General features: G+C 39.1%; 1 protein-coding gene and 1 long non-coding RNA gene across 2 annotated transcripts in view; one reads left to right on the plus strand and one right to left on the minus strand.

The window, feature by feature from the left end:
• SCGN (secretagogin, EF-hand calcium binding protein) overlaps nt 1-20744 on the plus strand; it is a 49569-nt gene extending 28825 nt beyond the window's left edge. The window contains exons 7-11 of the mRNA NM_006998.4: nt 912-967; nt 8133-8178; nt 8434-8493; nt 10017-10085; nt 20168-20744. Coding sequence (NP_008929.2) covers nt 912-967; nt 8133-8178; nt 8434-8493; nt 10017-10085; nt 20168-20296 — 360 coding nt within the window. The 3' untranslated portion in view covers nt 20297-20744. The remainder of the gene's footprint in view (nt 1-911; nt 968-8132; nt 8179-8433; nt 8494-10016; nt 10086-20167) is intronic.
• LOC124901284 (uncharacterized) lies at nt 834-17935 on the minus strand. The gene is made up of 2 exons (XR_007059517.1): nt 16387-17935; nt 834-1558 (listed from the first exon to the last, which is right to left on the minus strand). It is a non-coding gene; the product is annotated as an uncharacterized LOC124901284 (long non-coding RNA).
• Nucleotides 20745-23449: the final 2705 nt, after the last annotated feature.

Below are 23449 nucleotides of genomic sequence, written 5' to 3' on the forward strand. Positions count from 1 at the left end.
AAAATTCACTCACATTTCAACTCAGATCTGCAAAGAAATCTCTCTCTTCTATTTTGCCCAAACCAATCTGGTCTTTCTAATTTGTGGTTAGTGCAGAAACTTTTAACTTTTAGTCCTATCTTGTTTAAAGTTTAGTCTCATCTAATAATGTAAACAACTTCTTTGGACAATGCTAAGTCTCTCTATGAAAGGAAAGACTCAGTGTCAACACCTTTTGCCTTCACGGAAACATGAGGTTTCTCCTATACCCTATGAGAGTACCCTATGATATGAGCCCTCCAAGCCCTCCTTGGTGGTTGATATGCTAAATGAGGGCTAGAATAAAATAGTTTCAGAAAACCTTGACTCAAACCAAGTACCCATATTTCAAGCTTGTAATCTTTATAAAAATCCTGTTTTGCCTGTCAGAGACTGTGGTAGTCGTTGCTGCTATCCTCCAAATAATTAGTTTTCCTCTTAAGCACATGGCAGGATTGTATTATTCTGTCCCTTTGAAGGTAGCTGTGGCCAGGGATCTGCTTTGGACAATAAAATTTTAATCAGTAAATTATTTATTATTCTTTCTTTCTGCCATGGCAATCAGGAATGTGCCAGATGGTCACTACTTTGTCACTCCATGTCGCCAGAGTATAGACAACATGAAGTAGAGCTGCCAGCTAACCCTGTGAAAAATAAACCTGTGTTGTGTTAAGCCACTGAGATTTAGGAGATTTGGTTACTACGACTCATCCTAACAGAGAGGCTGACATGCAATTCCTTCTGTGACAAATACTAATTTTCCCCCAGGCAAGTGGGCTCCTCAGCCAATTTAGGCAAATATGTAATCAGAAGAGCAAAATAGAAAAGTGCTTTAATAACGTTCAGAATTAGTTCCTGTTACAAGTACAACCATTTTCCCTTCTGCATTTCAGATGAAGATTTTTGACAGAAATAAAGATGGTCGGTTGGATCTAAATGACTTAGCAAGGTGAGTTACATGGAAATGATATCATACATTCAGAAATACCTTACTAGGGGTCTGATGACATCATATATTTCCTTTTGAGACTGGAGATCAAGCCTCACCTGGAGTCTAAAAGAATAGGCACATCTTACCAATAAGCTGAGTGATTCTAAATCTTTTAGGGTAACAGATCCCTTTGTGAAGATAATGAAAATTCTTCTCTCCAAAACGCACAACACACAACATTTTCACAAATGTTATGGATGGGTCATGGGAAGACCCTACCCTTAAAGGCAAGACATTTATAGTCCCACATTGTGACTTCATGACAAAAATGTCCCAAATCCCATTTACTGGCTCTGGGAACGTCGAGCAGTTATTTCAGGACACAGGACTACTCAGCCGACTCCAGGTGCACTCTGTGTTCTTGAAGTGTTGGTGTATCCTCAGGGAGGCACCAAGTGTCTGAAGGCTAGAAGTGGAGGAGGACAGGATAAAAGCAGAAGTGGCTCAGTGTCCATGAAAATGTTGTCTGTGAGTCTGGTGTTGTGACACGTGATTGGTGTGTCAGCATGTTTTGTCAAGTCTGGCTGATCCCAAACAGCATGGAGTTGTCTACAAAAAAGAGAAAGACATTCTGAGCAAATAGTCAGAGTTGAAATTATTGGATCTGGAATACACAGATATACCTGTTATTGGGGAGCATCCATAATACCAGCTGCTTCAGGGCAGGGCTCAATGGTAATTGTAAGCAGGGCAGCAGTTACAGGCTGCAGCGCAGCAGCAGGTATAGCTGAGAGAGAGGAATTCCAAGGACTGGAGGCAAGTTTTTAATGATGAGGAGGTAACTCGACAAAGTCACAAGAAGATGTTGGTTTCGTCTCTTAGTGGACATTAACCTGAGTTCAGAATCACCAAATCCCACACCAGCTATCTCCTTTCTTGGCAGCTACCTCAGCCAGGTTTTGATATCTGTGAAAGGGGACTCACTGGGAAGAATATCTCCTCAGTAACAGCCAGAATATTGACCCCAGTACACTAAATGGCCTTCTATCTGTGCCTCATAGGAATTGTGAGGCAGCCTGTGTGTCCTCCTTGGCTACTTTTTTTAGGACCTTCGTTCTAACTTTGTCCACATTGATATAGAAGAGCCACTGAGGGACCAGCCAAAGAGGGACAAAAGTGTTTCTCCATCAGGCCTGCGGCAGAAGGCATCTCGCCTCTGCTCCCTGGATCCCACCTGGTTCTCTTGGTCAATGGAGGCAGGGTTCCTCTCAAGTAGAGGTCAGAGAGCTATGTGAAAGAGCCAATCCCAAAGCCACCAAAGGATTCATTCAATAGATGACAATCTAGATGAAAACAAAAGCTTGCAATCTCATGGTTCCCTTCACCAAAAGCATCTATCCACCTGTGCCCTGACTCAGTTGTGCACGTCTCAGAGGTAGTGAGAGTTGAGGAGCCCTGTGTGCCCTGGGAGGCTGGGGTAATAAAGGGCTCAGAGCAGCTGCTCTCTGCCCTCTTAGTCCATACACAATATGACCTACCTATGTATACAATGCTAAAATAACTAACATCATGCACAGACTGTAACATATAAAGGAGAAATAAAAGGAAAGCAGTTAATGATAAAATAATGCACATTTCAGTGTATAAGTGCTTGCATACAATCATAGTGAAGATATAGTGAAGTGGTCAGATGCTTTCACCTGGGTAGAATTATCATAAATGGGGCAGCTCAGATGCCGACTGATACAATTGTGACATTTTGGTAACTCAGGTGCTGTTGATATGATTTTATGAAATAATAAGTCTTGACAGAGTTCCAAATGAGACAAAGTATGTTAATCTCTTAACACAATTCATATACCATGTGGAAAATTTATGTAAGTAGTAAATTATGCAAACCTTGAGTTTTATGCAAATAAGAATTCAGTTCCAAGCACAAATAATTAAAAGCAGGGTTTTTACAGTCACGATTGCCCCCTGGACATTTGAAATTCAAGTGAGACATGGGGCAATTCTTCATTCTGCAGAAATTTCCATGCAATGCCAGAAACCTAATATCCCTAGCCCTATGTACAAAATGCTAGTTGTGCCCCCTTTATCACTGTGATAACTAATAGGGCCTTCTGCATGAGTCTAAACACTCTGTAGAGGCGGGTTTGCTATGGTCCTGCTGGTAGGGCAGGGACTATGCTCTAATCCCTTGAATAACTTCTCACTTGGTGGAGTGTTGTGTACTTGGGGGGATTCAATGAGTAGTTGTGAATTGATGGAGTTACAGTAGCACTGAACAGAGATGAAAGGCAGCAAAATCAGTTAGTATAGTACAGTCTTCCCTAAGTATCCTCTGGGGATTGGTTCCAGAACCTCCGCGGATACCAGATACCCAAATCCTCGGATGTTCAAGTCCCACAATTGGCCCTGAAGAACCCACAGATAGGGGGTGCCAAGTGTATTTCAAAACCAGTTTGATACGGAATTTGAAAATGTGAACTGTGGTAAGCAGAATAAAGATGTCCACGTCTTAGGCTGGGTGCAGTGGCTCACACTTGTAATCCCAGCACTGTGGGAGGCCGAGGCAGGTGCATCACTTGAGGTCAGAGTTTGAGGCCAGCCTGGCCAGCATAGTGAAACCCTGTGTCTACTAAAAATACAAAAAATAAAATAAAATAAAATTAGCTGGGTGTGGTGGTGCATGCCTGTAGTTCCAGCTCTTCAAGAGGCTCAGGCAGGAGAATCGCTTGAACTCAGGAGGCAGAGTTTGCAGTGAGCCAAGATTGCGTCACAGTACTCTAGTTAGGTGACTGAGCAAGATTCTATCTCAAAAAAAGAAAGGAAAAAAAAGATATCCACATCCTAATATCCAGAACTGGTGACTATTTTATGTTACATGGCAAGAATGAATTAAAGTTGCAGATCTAATTAAGTTTGCTAATCAATAGACTTTAAAATAGAGATTATTCTGGATTATCCACATTGGGCCCAATATAATAACAAAGATCCTTTAAATATGGAAGAGGGAGGCAGAAGGTCAGAGTCACGGAGAGATTTGAAAATGCTAGTTGCTGGCTTTAAAGTGGAAGAAGAGGCTAAAGAATGTAGGCAGCCTCTAGAACCTGAAAAAGGCAAGGGAAAGGATTCTCCCCGAGAACCTCCAGAAGGAATGAGGCCGTGTCGACAGCTTGAATTTTGCCCAGTGAGATCGATTTCAGACTTCAGCTTCTAGTGCTGTAAATGATTATGGTTATTTGAAGCCACTATGTTTGTGGCAGTGTGTCGCAGCAGCACTAGGAAACTAATACAACAACAAAGAGGCCTTAAAACATTTCCAGATAGGATTTTTCTCTCTCTACTTTCAGCTGTGAAATGCAGTTCAATTCCTCTACATAAAAGCACCTCCCAAGTAATATGTGCTGTGACTGGCAACATGATTTAGGCTGCCTGGTGCCTGCAAATACTAAGAACAATATTCCTGGCAGACCTCCAGGATATTCTGTCTTCTAATTGGCTCAAATTAATTCCCTCTACTCTGAGCATTTGGAGGAGCAAAGATTTTCCACATAGTTGTATTACATTTTTTCTACTTTTTCTATATATCCTCATGACTATGAATACAACATAAATCTAATGTTGAATTTACTGAAACTGACTGTATTCTATTAAAGTATAATTATAATTATAATTATACAGAAAAGAGGCAGACATATTTGCTTTCTAAAACAAAAACAAGATTATTTTAAAATTGAGACATAATTTATGTACCTTAAAGTTTACCCTTTTAAAGTCAGATCTACCAATCTACAATTTGGTAGATTTTAAGATATTCATAAGGTTGTCCAACCATCACCAATATCTAATTTTAGAACATTTCATTATGCCAGAAGGATACCCAGTACACATCAGCAGTCACTCCTCTCTTCCTCCTCCCACAAGGCCCTGGCAACCACCAATCTACTTTCTATTTCTATCGACTTTCCTATTTTGGGCATTTTATATAAATGGAATCACACAATATGTGCCTTTCCTATCTGGCTATTTCACTTGGAGTAATGTTTTCAAGGTTCATTCATGTTGTAACTTTATCCCTTTTTATGGCTGAATAATAGTCCCTTGTATGTACATACCACATTTTGTCCATTCATCAGCTGATGTTCATTTGAGTTGTTTTCACTTTTTAGAGATTATGAATAACGTTGCTACATGTTTTGGGACAAATATACGTTTGTGATTCTCTTGGTTATATATTAAGGAGCAGAATTTTTGGTTCGTGTCGTAATTTTACATTTAATTTTCTGAGGTACTGCCAAAGTGTTTTCTAAAGTGGCTGCACCATTTTACATTCCCACCAACAATGTATCAGGATTTTAATTTCTCCATATTCTAATCAGCACTTGTTATTGTTTGCATCTTTCTTTTAATTATAATCATCCTAGTGGGTGTGAAGTAGTATGTCATTGTGATTTGCATTTCGAACATTTTTTATGTTTTATTGGCAATTTGTATGTCTTCTTTGGAGAAATGTCTGTTCAGATTCTTTGCCCAGTTGAAAAATTGGGCGATTTGTCCTTTTGTTGTTGAACTATAAGAGTCCTGTATATATTCTGTGCACTAGACACTTATCAGATGTATAATCAGCAAAAACTTTTTTCCATTATGAGAGTCGTGTTTTCATTTTCTTGATGATGTCCTTTGAAGCACAAATGTTTTTAATTCTCATGAAGTCCAATTTGTCTAATTTTTTTGGTTGTTTGTGTTTTAGATGTCATATCTAGGAAGCCATTGCCAAAATCCAAGCTCATGAAGATTTACCCGTTTGTTTCCTTCTAAGAGTTATATAAACTATAAAGTTTCTGTTTTATGTAAATCCTTTTCATGTTAATTGTTTAATACAGTGTAAGGTGGGGGCACAATTTCATTATTTTGCATGTAGATATCTACTTGTCCCAACACCATTTCTTGAATATTTTTCCTTACTGAATGGTCTTGGCACCCTTTCTGAAAATAAACTGGCCATATGTATGGGTTTATTTCTGTACTCTCAATTCTATTCCATTTATCTACATATCTGTCCTTATGCCAATATCACACTATCTTGATTCTGTAGATTTGCAGGCAAATTTTGAAATAAAAAATGTGAGTCCTCAAACTTTGTTCCTCTTTTTCAAGATTGTTTTGGCTATCCTGGTTCATTTGCATATTCACATTAATTTTAGGACCAGATTGTCAATTTCTGCAAAAAAACCAATTCAGATTTTGATGGGGATTGTTTTGAATCTGCAGATCAATTTGGGAAGTGTTGTCTCCTTAAAAATATTAAGTCTCCCAGTGTATGAACATGGGATGTCTTTTCATTTACTTAGCTCTTTAATTTCTTTCAACAATGTTTTGTAGTTTTCGGTCTACAAACTAAACCACTTTTGTTAAATTTATTAAATATTTTATTCTTTTTGATGCTATCATGAAACGATTAGTATTCTGAATTCCACTTTTGGACTGCCCATTGTTAATGTATAGAAATGTCATTGAATTTTTTATATTAATCTGGTATTCTGCCAACATGCTGGATTTGTGTATTAGCTCTAGTAGTTTTTTGTTGGATTCCTTAGGATTTTCTATATACAATATTGTATCATCTATAAAGAGATAGTTTTACTTCTTTCTATTCTGCCAATCTCTGCTTTTAATGGAGTATTTAATATGTGTATATTTAACGTGATTACTGAGAAGGTAGGATTTATATTTGCTATTTGTTTCTCTTTGTCTTAAGCTTTTTTAAAATTCTTCTGTCCTTCCATTACTGCCTCCTGCACGTTCAACAGACATTTTCCAGTGTACTATTTTAATTCCCTTATTATTTGTTTTGCATTTTTTTTGAGTTATTTTCTTAGTGGTTGTCTGCTAGATTACAATTAACATCTTAATTTATATCAAATCTAATTGTGGATTAATAACAATTTAATTTCAATATTATACCCCAAATTTTACTTCTGTATAGTTCAAATGCCTTTCTCCTCCTTTCTGTTGTTAAAATTTTATCTTTATATATTGTGTGCTCCACAACATAGATTTTTAGTTATTGTTTTATGAAATTGTCATTTAAATCAGAAAGCAAAAAAGTTACACACAAAAAATACATTTATGCTGTGTTTTATATTTGGTTATATATTTACCGCTCCTGGTGCTCTTTATTGTTTCATGTGGATTTAAGTTAATGTCTAGTGTCCTTTAATTTCAGCCTGAAGGACTCCCTTTAGTATTTCTTATAGGTCATGTTTCTGGTGTATTGATGACTTTTGTTGTTTATTTGGTGACTTTTCTGAACTAATTCTATGAAGTCTATATTCTTTGTCAGGTGTGTCCACTGAAGTCTCTGCTAGGTTAGTTCAATGGTCAGTTCATAATTGGACAGAGATTTTCTAAAATGTCTTGAACCAGTAAGTCTCCCAGTCTCTTGCTAACGGGCTCTGTGTATGTGTTAGGGCAAGTTAAATGCTACGACAGTCATTGTTCTAACCAAGATTCAGCTGTTTTGGAGGCCCGGTGCCGTGGCTCACGCCTGTAATCCCCGCACTTTGGGAGGCCGAGCCCGGCGGATCACGAGGTCAGGAGATCGAGACCATCCTGGCTAACACGGTGAAACCCCGTCTCTACTAAAAATACAAAAAAATTAGCCGGGACTGGTGGCGGGCGCCTGTAGTCCCAGCTACTTGGGAGGCTGAGGCAGGAGAATGGTGTGAACCTGGGAGGCGGAGCTTGCAGAGAGGCGAGATCGCACCACTGCACTCCAGCCTGGGCGACAGAGAGAGATTCTGTCTCAAAAAAAAAAAAAAGATTTTTTTCAGAATAAACACTCCCCAGATTGCTGCAAGACTTTAATTATTTTCCAGAGCTCTGGGAAAGTTATTTTGACTATTTTTTCCAGTTTTATGGAGGAGCGAATTTCCAGAAGCCCATACTGTGCCATTTTCCACTAAGATGAACTTTTAAAAGTCTATGGTGACTACTAATCTCTACGAGTTTTTCCCAATTAATTTCTTTGTTTCTGTGATGTAGGAAGTTCTGTCTTTCAAGTACCTATTCTGTTCTGCAGGAAATTGCCTGTACTTTCCACACACCAGGGCTATAAGTTTTCGTATAACTGAGAGCTGAACGATCCTTACGTGGATTTTTTTTTTTTTCTATTTAGGATTCTGGCTCTTCAGGAAAACTTCCTTCTCCAATTTAAAATGGATGTAAGTAGTGACATTTCTCTAGATGGGTTTATGTCATTGCTGTTTCTCTACGGATTTGAGCAGGAAAGAAGAAAGGAAGGCATCTATTTGCCCTACTTTTTAACTTATTTAGAAAACAGACAAGGATCAGCATGGAATCAAGGGATCTTAAAGGTCATTGACTCAAAGTTTACAAAATTTGCCCAGGACTCTGGAAGAATTGTACAGCTGAATTGTCACATTGCTGGACTGACATAATGTTTTTTCCTTACACAGGCTTGTTCTACTGAAGAAAGGAAAAGGGACTTTGAGAAAATCTTTGCCTACTATGATGTTGTAAGTGTGCGTCTTTATACTGTGCTGGCCATCTCTGAGTAGGAAACTTATTTAACCCCTATGTGGAGCCATCTTACCCAACAGACCCTAAACTTACATGATGAATACCAATCCCATCTGTGTGTTCTAGGTCAAGGTACTCTCAACTCCTCTAGACCTTCTGAGAATAAAGTAAAAGTAGCCAAAGGAGTACACATGGTTGAGAAGAGAAAAAAATGACTTTTTTTTTTGACTCCTTGGGCCTAAACTATAAGTTTTCTCCCTCTTGTAGGACTAAGAGTTCATTTATAATATCATACACAAAAACATACAACCCTCCCACCCAATATTCAACCCAAAGAAATAGAGGAAAAGTCATACCTATTTATCATAAAAACTATTTTTTCTTGTAGAACCAATTATTTGATGAAAAGGGGAGAATATAAAAATTATAAGTACAAAGTATGGCAAAGAGATTGAATTTCCTAAGGACATGATAGTATGATGTAAGAAGGAAGAAAAGTAGAAAAGCAGAAAAAATGTTGGGAAAGGTTATAAGGATGTTTCCCTGAAACTAATCAGACTAGATAATTATGTGTCATGTTCTGAGCAGAAAACAGTATCACCTGGGAGAGGCAGTCTAGCATAGAGGTGGTTAAACACGTGGCTTCTGTGACCAATTACCTAGGTTTGAATCATGGCTTATTACCTATGTGGCCTTGGGCAGGTTCCTTAGCCTCCCTGTGCTTTGTTTTTCTTATTTGTAAAATTAGGGTGATAAGGATAATAATATCTACCTTCTGGGGATGTTATGAGAATTAAATGAATTCAGGTTTATAAAGCTTTTATGAGAGTGCCTGACAAGTACTATATAAGTGTTTGGTAAATACACTAAGGGAATGGAATTTTTAAAATGATATGTTAAAGGCTCAGGATTAAGAAATCACAAAGAGAGTAGATGAATTATTATAGTGGAACTTTAGAGAAGAAACAAATATTTTAATATGTATTGTATTTTATAGATGTTCATATTTGCATGTGTTATAAAATGGTTAGAAAAAAATAAAGGGTCTCATGTACAGACCAAATGATAATTCTAACATGTTCATTCAATGTAGTCTCCCTGGATTTAAAATAAATATTTTAATAATCAACATATCATTGCCAAATTATAGGGCAAAATAAAAAATTTCAATCTATACCTCAAAGGATTAATATTAGGTACAATTAACACTTATCTGAACTGAAGCCTGGGACCTGGGAAGCAAATGAAGGCAATATATGTCATACGACTGCAATCTGCAAAAGCCGAGGAACTCAAAAGTATGACTTCTCATTTGGTTACATGGAGCTGTTTTCAATGAGTTATTTTAATTCATGTGGAACATTCATGTCCTGCATGGAGAACATAAATTGGAACATGCCACTTCTAAATCTATTTGCGGCCACACAAGAATACTGATACGGTTTATTTACCTAAGTTATTGCCTTGCTTTTTGGCTTAAGAAACTGATATTTGGGCAATTGGATCTTTTCTTTTTCAGAGTAAAACAGGAGCCCTGGAAGGCCCAGAAGTGGATGGGTTTGTCAAAGACATGATGGAGCTTGTCCAGGTGAGTGCACGTTCTTCTTATTATGAAGTGGGGTTGTTGTTTTGATTTATTCCATTGTTTATTTGTGGGAATCAGTGAGACTGAAGGTTAATGTCAAAGATAAAATCTAGGGATGTAGTTTATTTAATAACCTTTGAATTGCTATGAAACCCAACAAACCTCCCTCGCTTTCTTAAGATTGTAGTTTAAATTACATGAAGCTATCATACAAGTATGTTTTTACCATCATTTAAAGGCCATCTATTTTACCAAAGGAGCACAGTGCCACTGAATATCTTTCTGTTCTATTTTTTGGTTACAGAAAGTCCCTCTTCCCCTCAGACTTGGTTATTAGAATAACTAAAACATTTAATTGAATTTCACGTAATAAAACTTATCTTCAGAATTCTATTTTTTTTTTAACTAAGAGGCTTCTCTAATACCTAGCCTAAGATGGTTATTTATCGGTTAAGACATTGCTGAGGTTGGGGCGGATGAAATTTAGATTATATTTACATCACACAGCTGTTTTATGTAGGATAGACAAGGTTTAAAAAACCTTCTTCGAGGTCCTGTTGAACTGTATTGACCAGCTACATGATCCAGTTAAGCAGATCATTTCCTATTCTTCCTTTTCCATGGGATTGTGTCGACAATGAATTTAGTAGTCTTGTATCCCTAGGGATTTTTTGAGGTTTGTTCAGAACACAATGATTGTGTTCTGGTTGGGCCAGATGGCAAAAAATTAGAGTAGCAATTATGAACTGTGTGTGGAGTTCCAGACTTCTTTGAAAATCAGATTAACACTATGGAACCTTGCAGCTGAAAAATGTGCAAATATCAATTTTTGCATGAATCTCCAGGAAGTTTGTGTACTGCAATAGAGCAGGCATGGATAAAACCCTTTCTGACATCTAATCAGCCTGATGAGACATCGTCCGTGATTCCTTTCTTTTGTTATTCTCATCCCAGTGGGTCCCTTGTCTCCTCTTTTCCTCATTCACTTGTTGCTCCTGTTGGAGATTTCACGGGCATTTGCACAGCCAGAATAACTGATGAGTATTGGTGTGGTATTGCTTTTTCTATTGATTGCTAGAGGAAAATCCCATTTCACTCATTATCTATTTAATGTCAGAATGGCTTCTGTAATAGAAACTGAGCAATTATCTATGGGATATTAAAGTTGCATGGCAGCATTTGCTAAATTAGAGTTTTAATTTGCTTTTGAGAGAATGAATGGGACAGTCAGTCTGTTTTTGAGAGCTGCCTGGCCTCTTATGCATTGGAGCCAGGGGCAGTGACTGCCTGAGTGTAGAGCCTGGGGGCTTTGGAACCTTACAGCACTCTACCCCACCACCCCCCAGAGAGGTTTTGGCCTTCTTCTCTTCCATGTCCCACACATACAGCCCAGCTGTGAGTGTGGATGCAGAGTCACAGTGAGCAGTCAGTCATTAACCAAATCAACCTCCCTTCTTCTTTGCTCCCCCTTTTCTTTACTCTCAAACTTGTGGGAAACAATTTTTTCTCAGGTCAGAGGTGTCATTTGTTGCTGACAACAGTCTTGTGGCATCCCACGTCTTCGCCAGGCTGTGGGAGGCAGCTGGGCTGGGCTGAGGGATTAAGCTCTGCTTGAATCAGAATACATCCGATTTACAGAATTTGAAGGGGTGGTTTCCAGAGGGGCTGCCTTGGTTGGGGGTGGCTGCTGCTCCTCCTCTTTGGTAACCTCATTTTGATTCTCTTCCCTTCTTTCTCTTTTCCCTCACTATGAAAAGAACTGATTGGAATTTTTTTTTGTAGATGAGGCCGTGTAAAATGGGAGACAGTGCTTTGGCCTGTGACAGATCTGAGCTTTAATTCCAGATCAGCCATTTATGAACTGTATGTGTGTGGGCAAGTTACTCAATCTCTCTGATACTTGTCTTCTCATCCATTATATGGGCACAACAATATTTACTTCCCAGGGTTTTGTGCTGACTAGAAATAACATAAACATTGATCATAGTCCCTGGGATATCAAATGATTTCCAAAAATAATAGTCTTTATTATTTTATTAGAACAAAGCGGCCGGGCGCGGTGGCTCATGCCTGTAATCCTAGCACTTTGGGAGGCAGAGGCAGGTGGATCACGAGGTCAGGAGATCGAGACCATCCTGGCTAACGCGGTGAAACCCCATCTCTACTAAAAATACAAAAAAATTAGCTGGGCGTGGTGGTGGGCGCCTGTAGTCCCAGCTACTCAGGAGGCTTAGGCAGGAGAATGGTGTGAACCTGGGAGGCAGAGCTTGCAGTGAGCTGAGATTGGGCCACTGCACTCCAGCCTGGGCAACAGAGCGAGACTCCGTCTCAAAAAAAAAAAAAAAAAAAAAAAAAGGAACAAAGCTGCTGTAATCTTTGGAGTACATTTCTGAGAATAGTTAGCATTTGAAAGAGAATTTCATAAAAGGAATCATCTGCTCAATGCATGGCTATGCCATTCTATTGGATAATCCTGTCTAAAACAATAATGTAAAAAAAGCCAGTGCAAAAGAAAACATCTAAAAGATAGGTATGATTATGTCAGATGGCAATTAACTAACATATTTTAGAATGCATAGCTTGAAAATTTTTGCTTCCTTTCTGATTATAAAATTCTCTCTGCATACTATAGAAAAATGTTGAAAATAAAGGCAAGTAAAAGTTAAGAAGCTGATGAGAATTCGAGCTAAGAATTCGGATTCTAGGCTGACCCCCTGGGGTTCCAGGTCTGATTTTACCACTCCCTGCCAATGAGACCTTGGGCAAGTCATTTTGCATCTCCAAACCTCAGTTTCCTCATCTGGAAGATGGAAATTGTCATAGATCCTACTTCCATAAAGTTGTCATGAAGATTACAGGAGGAAAATCTGTATAAGGCAATTAATATTGTGCTACTTCACTAATTAATACCATGGTAATAAATTATTACTAAAAACTCAAAAAATACTAGCTATATCACATATTGATCTGGAAAGTGATATAGCTCTCATAACTTTAGTGACTATGATCATTGCTATTTCCATATGATTTTTGTAAGAGAAAGCCCAGATATCTATAACCAGTAATTTTGCTGGATCCCTTCTTAAAAAGTCATGATTTTTGAATCTGGATAATCTTAATAATCTTCAATAACTCTGCCTTTCAATTGTCATTGAGTTTGGCAATGGTTTCCAAAGGCCAGTAGGAGAGATAGAAGTAAAATCCAAACCAACAACATAGCAGACAAGACATTTTTTCCAGAGAAAATGAAAGAGATGGGAAAAATACTAGACCATGCAAAAAATTAGTTGGAAGCAGAGATCAGCCTCGTTCTTCAATGGATTTATATCACTTCTATGGGAAGGTGAAGATCCTCGCCCCTTTTAGCCTCTCTGTTTCTGTGGAGCTGCTGGGGCAGCACAAAGGCACCTCTCAGTGTAAGCACCAGCCAATTTGAGACAGAGCTAGTTCCTAGAGACCAAGTCAGACTGTGGTCAGTAATTCAAAAGGAATTTATTGGGATTCTCCAGATGATTTGTTGAGCTAAAACATATGTACACAGTAGTTCATTATTAATGTTCTCCTCCGAAAATTGAAGGTGCATACGTTTACTGTGCCTTTCCTAGTCTTTAATGGATCTTCCTTAGTCTTCTAGGTTTCTTTAAAAATACTCGCCATATAATTTGTATGCTGTAGTCAAAGGATGGCCAGTAGTTGAATTTCATATTTCTTGGCTTTATAAACAGAGTCTTTCCTGTGACTTTTCTCTTTATTTTCATTTTATAAAAAAGGGCCATGGGAGAAGTAAACAAATCAGTATTTGGAATTTATTTTAAAAGAAACTGTCAGAGAGCATATACCATGGGATCAGCAGGAAGCTGGCCCAGTTACAAAGTCTGGGTCAGGGTTTTTGGTGTTTGCAGTAATAACTCTGAAGTAAGCTTATCTTATAGTTTTTTAATTCTTGGACAATCATATGATGTATATGTTGACTTTACATGGACAAGATTATTTGGTTATCAAAACACCCCATTCCCCAAGCTCTGAAAAATGACACCCAAGTCTTTCCTCTGTCAATCTGATAAGATTACAGGTCTTTGAGGAATAAACATGATTTCTTTTTTTCCAACAAATGTATTGAGATATGATTGACACTTAAAAAAGCACTGTATATACTTAACATATACAATTTGATGCATTTGGAGGTAAGTATACATCCATGAAACCATCATCATGATCAATGACATAAACTTATCCATCACCTGCAAACATTTCTCTAGCCACCCCCCTCCACCTTTTTTTGTCTTTTTATTTTGTTTTGTTTTCTTTTATGTCAAGGGCACTTAACATAACATTTACCGTCATAGCAAATGTCCAAGTATACCATACAATATTGTTAATCATATGCACAATAATTTCTGTACAAGATTTTTGTTTGTTTGTTTTTGAGACAGAATCTCACTCTGTTGCCCAGGCTGGAGTGCAATGGCGTGATATTGGCTCACTGCAACCTCCGCCTCCTGGGTTCATGTGATTCTCCTGCCTCAGCCTCCTGAGTAGCTGGGATTCACAGGTGCATGCCACCACACCCAGCTAATTTTTGTATTTTTAGTAGAGATGGTGTTTCACCATGTTGGCCAGACTTGTCTCAAATTCCTGACCTCAAGTGATCTGCCCACCTTGGCCTCCCAAAATGCTGGTATTGCAGGCATGAGCCACTCTGCCTGGCCTACAAAACTTTTTAACAGCCCGTAGCTCACTCAGAGCAGCATAAAAATCAACACAAGAATCTACAGCTTAAATGAGAAAGTAGAATGGCAAGAAATTCCAGATCTCCCAAGAGAAGGTAGAAATATGAACACTAACATCGGAAGCCAAATACATTGGCTGTCTGGAAGTGATGGGAGTTCCTGCCCACAGTCCTCCCTAAAGTTCTTTCTTTTCCTTGATGGACAACCCATTTGCTTTTTCTCTGCTATTGTCAGGAAGATGATTGGCAAGAGGGGACAATACCTCTTGTTATTGATAGATTCAGTAAAGAATTGAATCTAACATGTGCCTCTCTAAAGAGCTAGCCCTTAGCAAAAATGTCTCTTTTCACTTTTAAATTGTAAAAATGATACATGCATCATAGAGAAATCAGAAACCAGAAACCAGAAAAAACAGAAGCATAACCTCTATGTTCTAACAGACTGACTGTGAACTGACTTTTCTCCTATGTATGTTTTTATATGGTTGAGGTTATAGTGAATAATAGACATTACAATATCATAGTATATTATTTATAATATAGAGTATACTATATATAGCCTATTACAGAATAATATTAACAGTCATTCAGTAACCACATAATATTTCACCTGTGGTTAGATCATAATTTACTTAAACATTCCCCTATTACTAATAATTTAGATGGGTTCCCATGTCTGCGATTCAAAACAGTAATGCAATAATATCCTTGTGCAAAGATCTTTCTCTATATTTGGCCTTGTCCCGGGAATAAAATTACTAAATCAAGTGGTTTGTGTGCTTTAAAATTCCTGGGATCCATTGTCAAGTTTTAGCAAACATCTGAAGAAAGAGCAGGTGTGCTTTCCCATTTCCTTCTTCAACGTCCTTTCCTCAAACCTGACTTTTCTTCCCCTCACTACCCAGAAAGTTGCTGATGACTTCATTTTGACCTAGCTTTGTCTATCACGGAAGATAGCATTCTGGTATATATACTATATGTTTTCGCATTATTATGTTAGGGACTTAACGTGCTGCCATCTCTTGGGTGATGAAAAACTTTGAAAAGAGAGGATAGGTGGCAAGGAGAAGAAAATGTAATCCCAAAGAGTGAATATCTAACAAAAGAATGTTTTTTGTTAGATATAAAAGAATGTGGTGGAAACTAGCGATGGGAAGAAAGTTGAAAGACTGAAGAGGTTCTTCCTGGAGCTTCTCAAATTAAAGCACTGCTGGGTACACCACTCTCTAGGAGACTTCCCAGTATCTGAGCAGACGTTTCCATTTGCCTAGTAAAGTGATCCTAAAGGAACACCAATGTAATTTCTTATTTTCATTTTAAAAAGCAATGGCAGGTGATAATTTGTAAACAAGCAGAGGCTTGTTGGTAGAGACCTGGACAGATATCTTAAGCAATAATGTCTTAACTTCTGCCTGTCGCCTCAATGTTTTCAAACACCAGTGTGGCCAATAAATAGCAAACTGGAGACAGAAAACATGTTGTAATTTTGCATGGTTACAGAATAAGGTTCTGGTTAATTAAATATTTTGATTGGTAGAGAATTATTTTAAGTGGGTTACAATAAAATGCACTTACCATCAGTGAAACTCTAATTCAGTTCCTCTAGTGGTCAGAATATGGTCCAGTGTTGGAGTCATGATGACTCTAGGATAGAGATTTGTGAAGTGCTGGTTAACAGAAGGCTTGGATATGAACTTTAATTATTTTAAGAGAATTGGAATGTACAGGAAAGGGTAGGTGTATGACAAAAACAGGAAGGCTGCATTTGAGGATAGTCATTCACTAATTTCATAGATATAATTGAGCACCTACTATGGGCAAGAATTGGGAAGAGAAGGCCAGCCCCAAAGGTCCCCCTATTGCCAAGATTAAAGGGAGACAGGTCAGCATTTTTCAATCAATTTTATTTCAGATCCACTCTCACACTGTCCTATGAGATGAAAGAGGAAAAAGTTACATTTTTACATGAAAGATTATGATACAGTGTAGTGATAAAAAATATACACTTTGGGACCTGACTGCCTGGATTTGTATCTTGGTTCTGACATGTGTCAGCTGTGTGACAGTGGGCAAGTTAATTAACCTCTCTGTGCTTTAGTTTACTCATCTATAAATTAATGATGAAAGTAGATACAACCTCCTAGGGTTGTTCTGAAGATTAGAGTTAATATATTTAGAGCTCTTACCTCAGGAACCTATCTGCACTTATATTAGTCACTTGTTATAAAAACTGTTGTTAAGACTGAGGCTCTAAAGGTTTCTGGTGATTTGTCTTCAGTGACACGTGCATTTTTGAGCTGTGGCATTTAGGTCTCCTGACTCATATTGAGTTGCCCAATATTAAAAACATAACTCAAAAGGTCCAAAGGAACTTCCTTTACATACATCCACATTCATTCCCACATCCCCTAATACACATGCATTCATACACCAAAAATATTTTCTACTCACTTGAAGGAAATAATTACTATGGTGGGAAACAAAGTCCATTATTCTTCAATTAGAAAACAAAACAAAACAAAACAAAAACAAACTTAGAATAGTTTGAATGAGGTAAATACATTGGCAAATTAATTCACACTAATGTGTAAATGACTACCACTTGAGTATTTTCTAATAATGGGATTTGCCAAAAGGATCCTGGGGCCGTTTAGTGGAGAAAAGTTTTACCAACAAGTCACTGAAGATGCTGAAAAGCAAACATCCCCACATTGCACTGTACAACAAATGAACTCCCACCAGGGGGTCTCAGAATGCAGCCTGCTGTTTTCAGGACCTCTGAGCCACATTTCCTTGGGCCACATCTATACTTGCCTGGTACTGGCAGAGAACTACAAGAGAACCTATTGACAAGGTCGAGTTACATTGTGGCCTCAGAGTCTAATCATTCAGGCCACTCTCCACAGAAGAGTGAAGTTGATCAAGTTTATCTTCTGGTCCCAGACTTTCAGCTCCTGATATCTCTCTGAATACCAGGCCTACTCTGGTGTTTATTTTTCCTGCTCTGCCATCTGGCTCCCAATTTCTGTTGCTCTTTCCTCCTTCCTCCTATTTTAAACCTGCTATCAATAATAGATTTGGTGTCAGTCATTTACCCCATTGGACAGTGCAAATTAACGAGTCTTAACGTGGCTTGGCTAGTTAAGGAACAATTTTTTTTTCTTCCCCTACTGATGATGTTTTTAGTGATTTTGTTTTTGGAAGCAAGAAAACCTTGGGGCAGGGTTGGGTAATGGAGAGTGCTTCCCAGAGCCCCTGAAATCAAACCTGCGGGTCGCTGCCTTCTCTATTCACTCATAAAACTACTCCAGTAATCAAGGGGCTTGGAAATTTGACTAAATTTGTTTTTTGTTTTTCTCTCTGTACATTGACTTTTAAATTTAGATTTGTGAACAGAAGTTTTCTGAAAAGGAATTTGGTGGAAAGGCTTTATTCCCGTTAATAGTTTGAAAACGGGACTGGGCACAATGGCTCAGGACTCTAATCCCAGCACTTTGGGAGGCCGAGGCAGGTGTGTCATCTCAGGTCAGGAGTTTGAGATCAGCCTGGCCAACATGGTGAAACCCTGTCTCTACTGAAAAAATACAAAATTAGCCGGGTGTGGTGGTGGGCACCTGTAATCCCAGCTACTTGGGAGGGTGAGGCTGGAGAGTTGCTTGAACCTGGGAGGCGGAGGTTGCAATGAGCTGAGATGGCACCACTGCACTCCAGCTTGGTGACAAGACTGAAACTCTGTCTCAAAAAAAAAAAAAAAAAAAAAGAAAAGAAAATGGGAAAATGGAGGACACACTTTTCAGTGTAAACCAGGGTGCAGAGAACAAAAGGGGGTTTGGATTTTACAAAGTCAGTGCCCACCCATGTTGCCAGTTAGTTCTGTTTGTGCAAATAAAGGATTCAAACTTGCTTAGTTCTGATTGGTTATTGGAGCCAAGTTCTGATTGGTCAATAGAGCTGAGTCCTGATTGGTTAATTTAACTGAGTTCTGATTGGTTGGTTCGGGTGAGCTCTGAAAGCCCTAAAAAGAAAAAGGTGCTGGTTTTCAGGGTACTTGAGTAAGCTGTCATCTCTAGTCAAAAAAGGGCCACTTGGATCTATTTTAAATTTAGGGCCAGTGGCCGGGCACGGTGGCTCACTCCTGTAATCCTAGCACTTTGGGAGGCCAAGGTGGGCGGATCACCAGGGGTCAGGAGTTTAAGACCAGCCTGGCCAACAGGATGAAACCCTATCTCTACTAAAATACAAAAATTAGCCGGGCATGATGGCGGGTGACTGTAAGCCCAGCCACTCGGGAAGCTGAGATGGGAGAATCGCTTGAACCCGGGAGACGGTAGTTGCAGTGAGCCGAGATCACTGCCACTGCACTCCAGCAGGGACGGCTGCGACTTCGTCTCAAAAAAAAAAAAAAAAAAAAATTTTGGGCCAGTAAACCACGTGAGATCCATTTTGAAGGATGGGCTCTTTGATTTTGACGTTTATTCACAGATGCATCAGCACACATGTAGTTTCATTAGACCAGCCTTTTCTCCATGAGAATGGTATGAAATTTTGCAATGAGCACTCAATTGGAATCAGAGGACTATTGAGGACTGTCTCCAATTGTCAGAGGACTGTTGGACTATTCTTGGGCTCAAAAATGCTGCCACAACTTTCCAGCTTGGCAGGAAGCTTAAGCTTTCTCTGCACCTCTGTTTCCTAATTTGTAAAAGAGGTGGAATTATTTACTTCCCAGCATTATTGTGAAGCTTACATGAAATAACCTATGGAGAATCAATTTGTTAAAGCATTCCTCACTTTTGCAGGCCTTTGAGCTTGAAGTAAAAAACTTTTCCTAGCTAACATGTGTCACGTTTCTAGCTAACATTCTTTCTTGCCCCCTAACATATCCCTTGGAGTAAATATTACATCCCTAGCTCAACCACATGTTTTAAATTTACATTCAGTATAACCATTTTTTTTTAAACCAGAGGCACAAAAATCTCCTACAAGGAGATAATGAAATGTGTCTTCTCTCATCAGTGCAGCAAGGCAGAAATTTATGATCATAATTGCCTACTTTGCGGCAAAGTATCTTTACTATGGTTGCTAATAAGGCAGTCTTTTTCTAAGAACTGCAGGGAAGTGATGTGGAAGTAAAGGTTTTTTGGCCTGAAGGGACATGCTGAGAAATGAAGCTGTTGGCAGAAAACTTATCCTTGGCAGCATTTGGTGGGATGAGGCGATAGACTCATTCCCTCACTCCCTGTGGCCTGTCTCCTTCAAGGCAGGACACCCTAAGCTTAGGGAGCATCAGAGAGGGTGTTAAAGGGTGAGAACACCATTGGCTTGCCTGTTAACATGTTACTTTTGTCGCCCTCAGCCCAGCATCAGCGGGGTGGACCTTGATAAGTTCCGCGAGATTCTCCTGCGTCACTGCGACGTGAACAAGGATGGAAAAATTCAGAAGTCTGAGCTGGCTTTGTGTCTTGGGCTGAAAATCAACCCATAATCCCAGACTGCTTTGCCTTTTGCTCTTACTATGTTTCTGTGATCTTGCTGGTAGAATTGTATCTGTGCATTGATGTTGGGAACACAGTGGGCAAACTCACAAATGGTGTGCTATTCTTGGGCAAGAACAGGGACGCTAGGGCCTTCCTTCCACCGGCGTGATCTATCCCTGTCTCACTGAAAGCCCCTGTGTAGTGTCTGTGTTGTTTTCCCTTGACCCTGGGCTTTCCTATCCTCCCAAAGACTCAGCTCCCCTGTTAGATGGCTCTGCCTGTCCTTCCCCAGTCACCAGGGTGGGGGGGACAGGGGCAGCTGAGTGCATTCATTTTGTGCTTTTCTTGTGGGCTTTCTGCTTAGTCTGAAAGGTGTGTGGCATTCATGGCAATCCTGTAACTTCAACATAGATTTTTTTGTGTGTGTGGAAATAAATCTGCAATTGGAAACAAAAATGTACTGGTAATTGCTTTTGTCTTGTGACCTTTGAAATGTTCTACCTGATGGTTTGACTAACAAACCCCTTATCTAATGGGGATCGGGGGAATGGTGGAGAAGGAGAGTGAAGGGCAATATCTTAAAAGAAATCCACACCACCAATCCTTCTATAGTCCTCACATGCCCTCACTAGGGCTGACTTCCTGGTGAGCTGGCATTAAAGTGAGAGCTGCCAATAATCACTTTTTATTGGAAGGAGGAGACCAGAACACTCATCCTGGACTGGGGTTTGTTCTTAAGTGCTTGGTGAGCTCACATGGCTAGGCAGGTAGATATAGAGAAGAAGTATGAAGAAAATGTTTCCCAAGTAACCCGGGCTCCCCTCTCCATCCCTTCCTTTTCCAACAGTGCTCCCCAGCAAATCTGGGACCACGACAGCCTTCTTCTAGGTACGTGAGTGCCTCTCATGGGTGCCTCTGCATGCTCCTGGCCCCAACATGTGCCCTGCTCTCTTCTCTCCTGGAACTCTGATGCCATCCCCATGGAAAGGAGACTGTTGGGGCAAGGGGAGAGTTTCTGCAGGGTAGGCCCCACTTTCCTTTACTGTCTTCATCCTTTATTCTTCATAACACCCCTACCTTATACTAGACTGTGTAGTAATTTCAGGCTTAGTGAAGTGTTACAGATAATTCAGAAAAATTAGTGTAGAACAGTGTATTTAGAGCTGTTCATAACCCACGAATTCTGTTTACAGGGGTTCCCTTCATTGCACACCGTCGTCCTAACCTGATTTTCTTCCCTTCATGTCACCCTTACCTCCAACATATAGATAATTCATATTAAGAACTGCTATTTACTAAGTGCTTTCTATGTGCCAAGTACTTCTAGGTGCTTTCCATACCTTAAGTAATTTAATCTTCACCAAATCCCTGTGAGATAGGTACTATCATGATACTCATCTTAGAGATGAAGAAACCAAGGTAGATAGAAGCTAAACAATATGTTCGTTATCATAGCTCTTAGAAGTGGGAAGTCAGGGAGTCTGACGCTGGAACCACGTGCTCCTAACCACCACTTTATTTTTTAATTTTTTTTTTTTTTTTTTTTTTGAGATGGGCTTTCGCCATGTTGCCCAGGCTGGTCTCAAACTCCTGGGCTCAAGTGATCCACTCGCCTCAGCTTCTGAAAGTGCTGGGATGACAGGCATGAACCACCATGCCCGGCCAACAACCACTTAATTACAGACAATTTTCACGTACCTTTCAGGAAGCCTTGGCCCCTTCCTGCAGGTTCTTTCTCACAGTGGGATCCGCCACACCTCCCAGAAGAACAATTCTCCAAGTCCGGGTCATTCAACCTGGAGTACACTTTGTAGGAGCTTAAAGAGAGTTCAGGAAGCACCACAGGGTGAACCACACATGCCAGATTCTTCTGTTGATTGTCCAAATGGTGAGCTAACTGTGCACACATACACTCTTCACAGAACAAACAACCATTTTCAGGATTGAGACTGCCTGAACCCACAAAGAGGAAAAGACATTCTCTATTTCCAGGACATCACATTATTCTGCAGTGATTAATTCCTCTTAATCTCCTGTTTTCTTGTTGTGTTTTAAGTAACAGAAGCCTTTTATTTTAACATAGTTGAATTTATTTTATATATATTTATTGCAACATATTTTATGTTTGGTTTGAGAAAACCCACTCTATATGTCACAAATGCATTCTCTTCCACTATCACTTTTTTAAACTTTAAAAAAATTATAGTCATAGATACATATGTGTGTGTTTGTAACATAACAATTGCCATGTAACCATTTTAAGTGTATAATTCAGTGGCACTAATTACATTTACAATCTTGTGCAATGATTACCACTATGTCTAAAGTTTACTCATCACCCCAGACAGAAACTCTGTACCCACTAAACGATAACTCCCAATTTCCCTCTTCTCCATTCTCTGTTAAGCTCTAATCTATGTTCTGTCTATATGAATTCACCTATTCTAGATATTTTATATAAGTTTCATCATAAAATATTTGACCTTTTGTGTCTGGTTTGTTTTACTAAGCATCGTAATTTCATGATTTATCCATGTTGTAGCACATATCAGAATGTCATTCCTTTTTATTGCTGAATTATTTTCCATTGTATGAGTAGTCTATATTTTGTTTATTCATTTGCCTGTTGATTGACATTTGGTTTGTTTCCACCCTTTGGTTATTGTAAATAATGCTGCAAGGAACATTGGCATATGAGCATCAGCGTCCCTGTTTTCAGTTCTTTTGTGTATATATGTAGGAGTGGAACTGGTGGTTCATATATTAATTCTATGTTTGTCTTTTTGAGGAAATGCCAAACTATTTTCCATATAGCTGCAATATTTTACATTCCCACTAGCAATGTAAGAAGGCTCTAATTTTAATCTCCTGTTTCTAAATACAGCTTTTTCTGGAACTGGCAAAAATCAGAACTAGACCCAAGGCTGAGCCATATCTACTTAATTTATGACTCTTCCTTTAGCTACACGAAGAGAGTCTTTGAGGTTTGCTGCTCCTGCAATGGGTGTACTGCATTCTTAGCTAAAGATGTGCATCCTCTTCCGTGTCTATCTAGTGGTGGCTGAGAGGAGGATGAGGATGGGAAGGGACGTTTTATTCTTTTAGGAATAATTTGTTCAGACCCATTGAAAGAAGCTACTTACCTTGAGCACCAGCAAGCT

Source organism: Homo sapiens, chromosome 6, assembly GCF_000001405.40.
Source record: "Homo sapiens chromosome 6, GRCh38.p14 Primary Assembly".
Classification (NCBI taxonomy): Eukaryota; Metazoa; Chordata; class Mammalia; order Primates; family Hominidae; genus Homo; species Homo sapiens.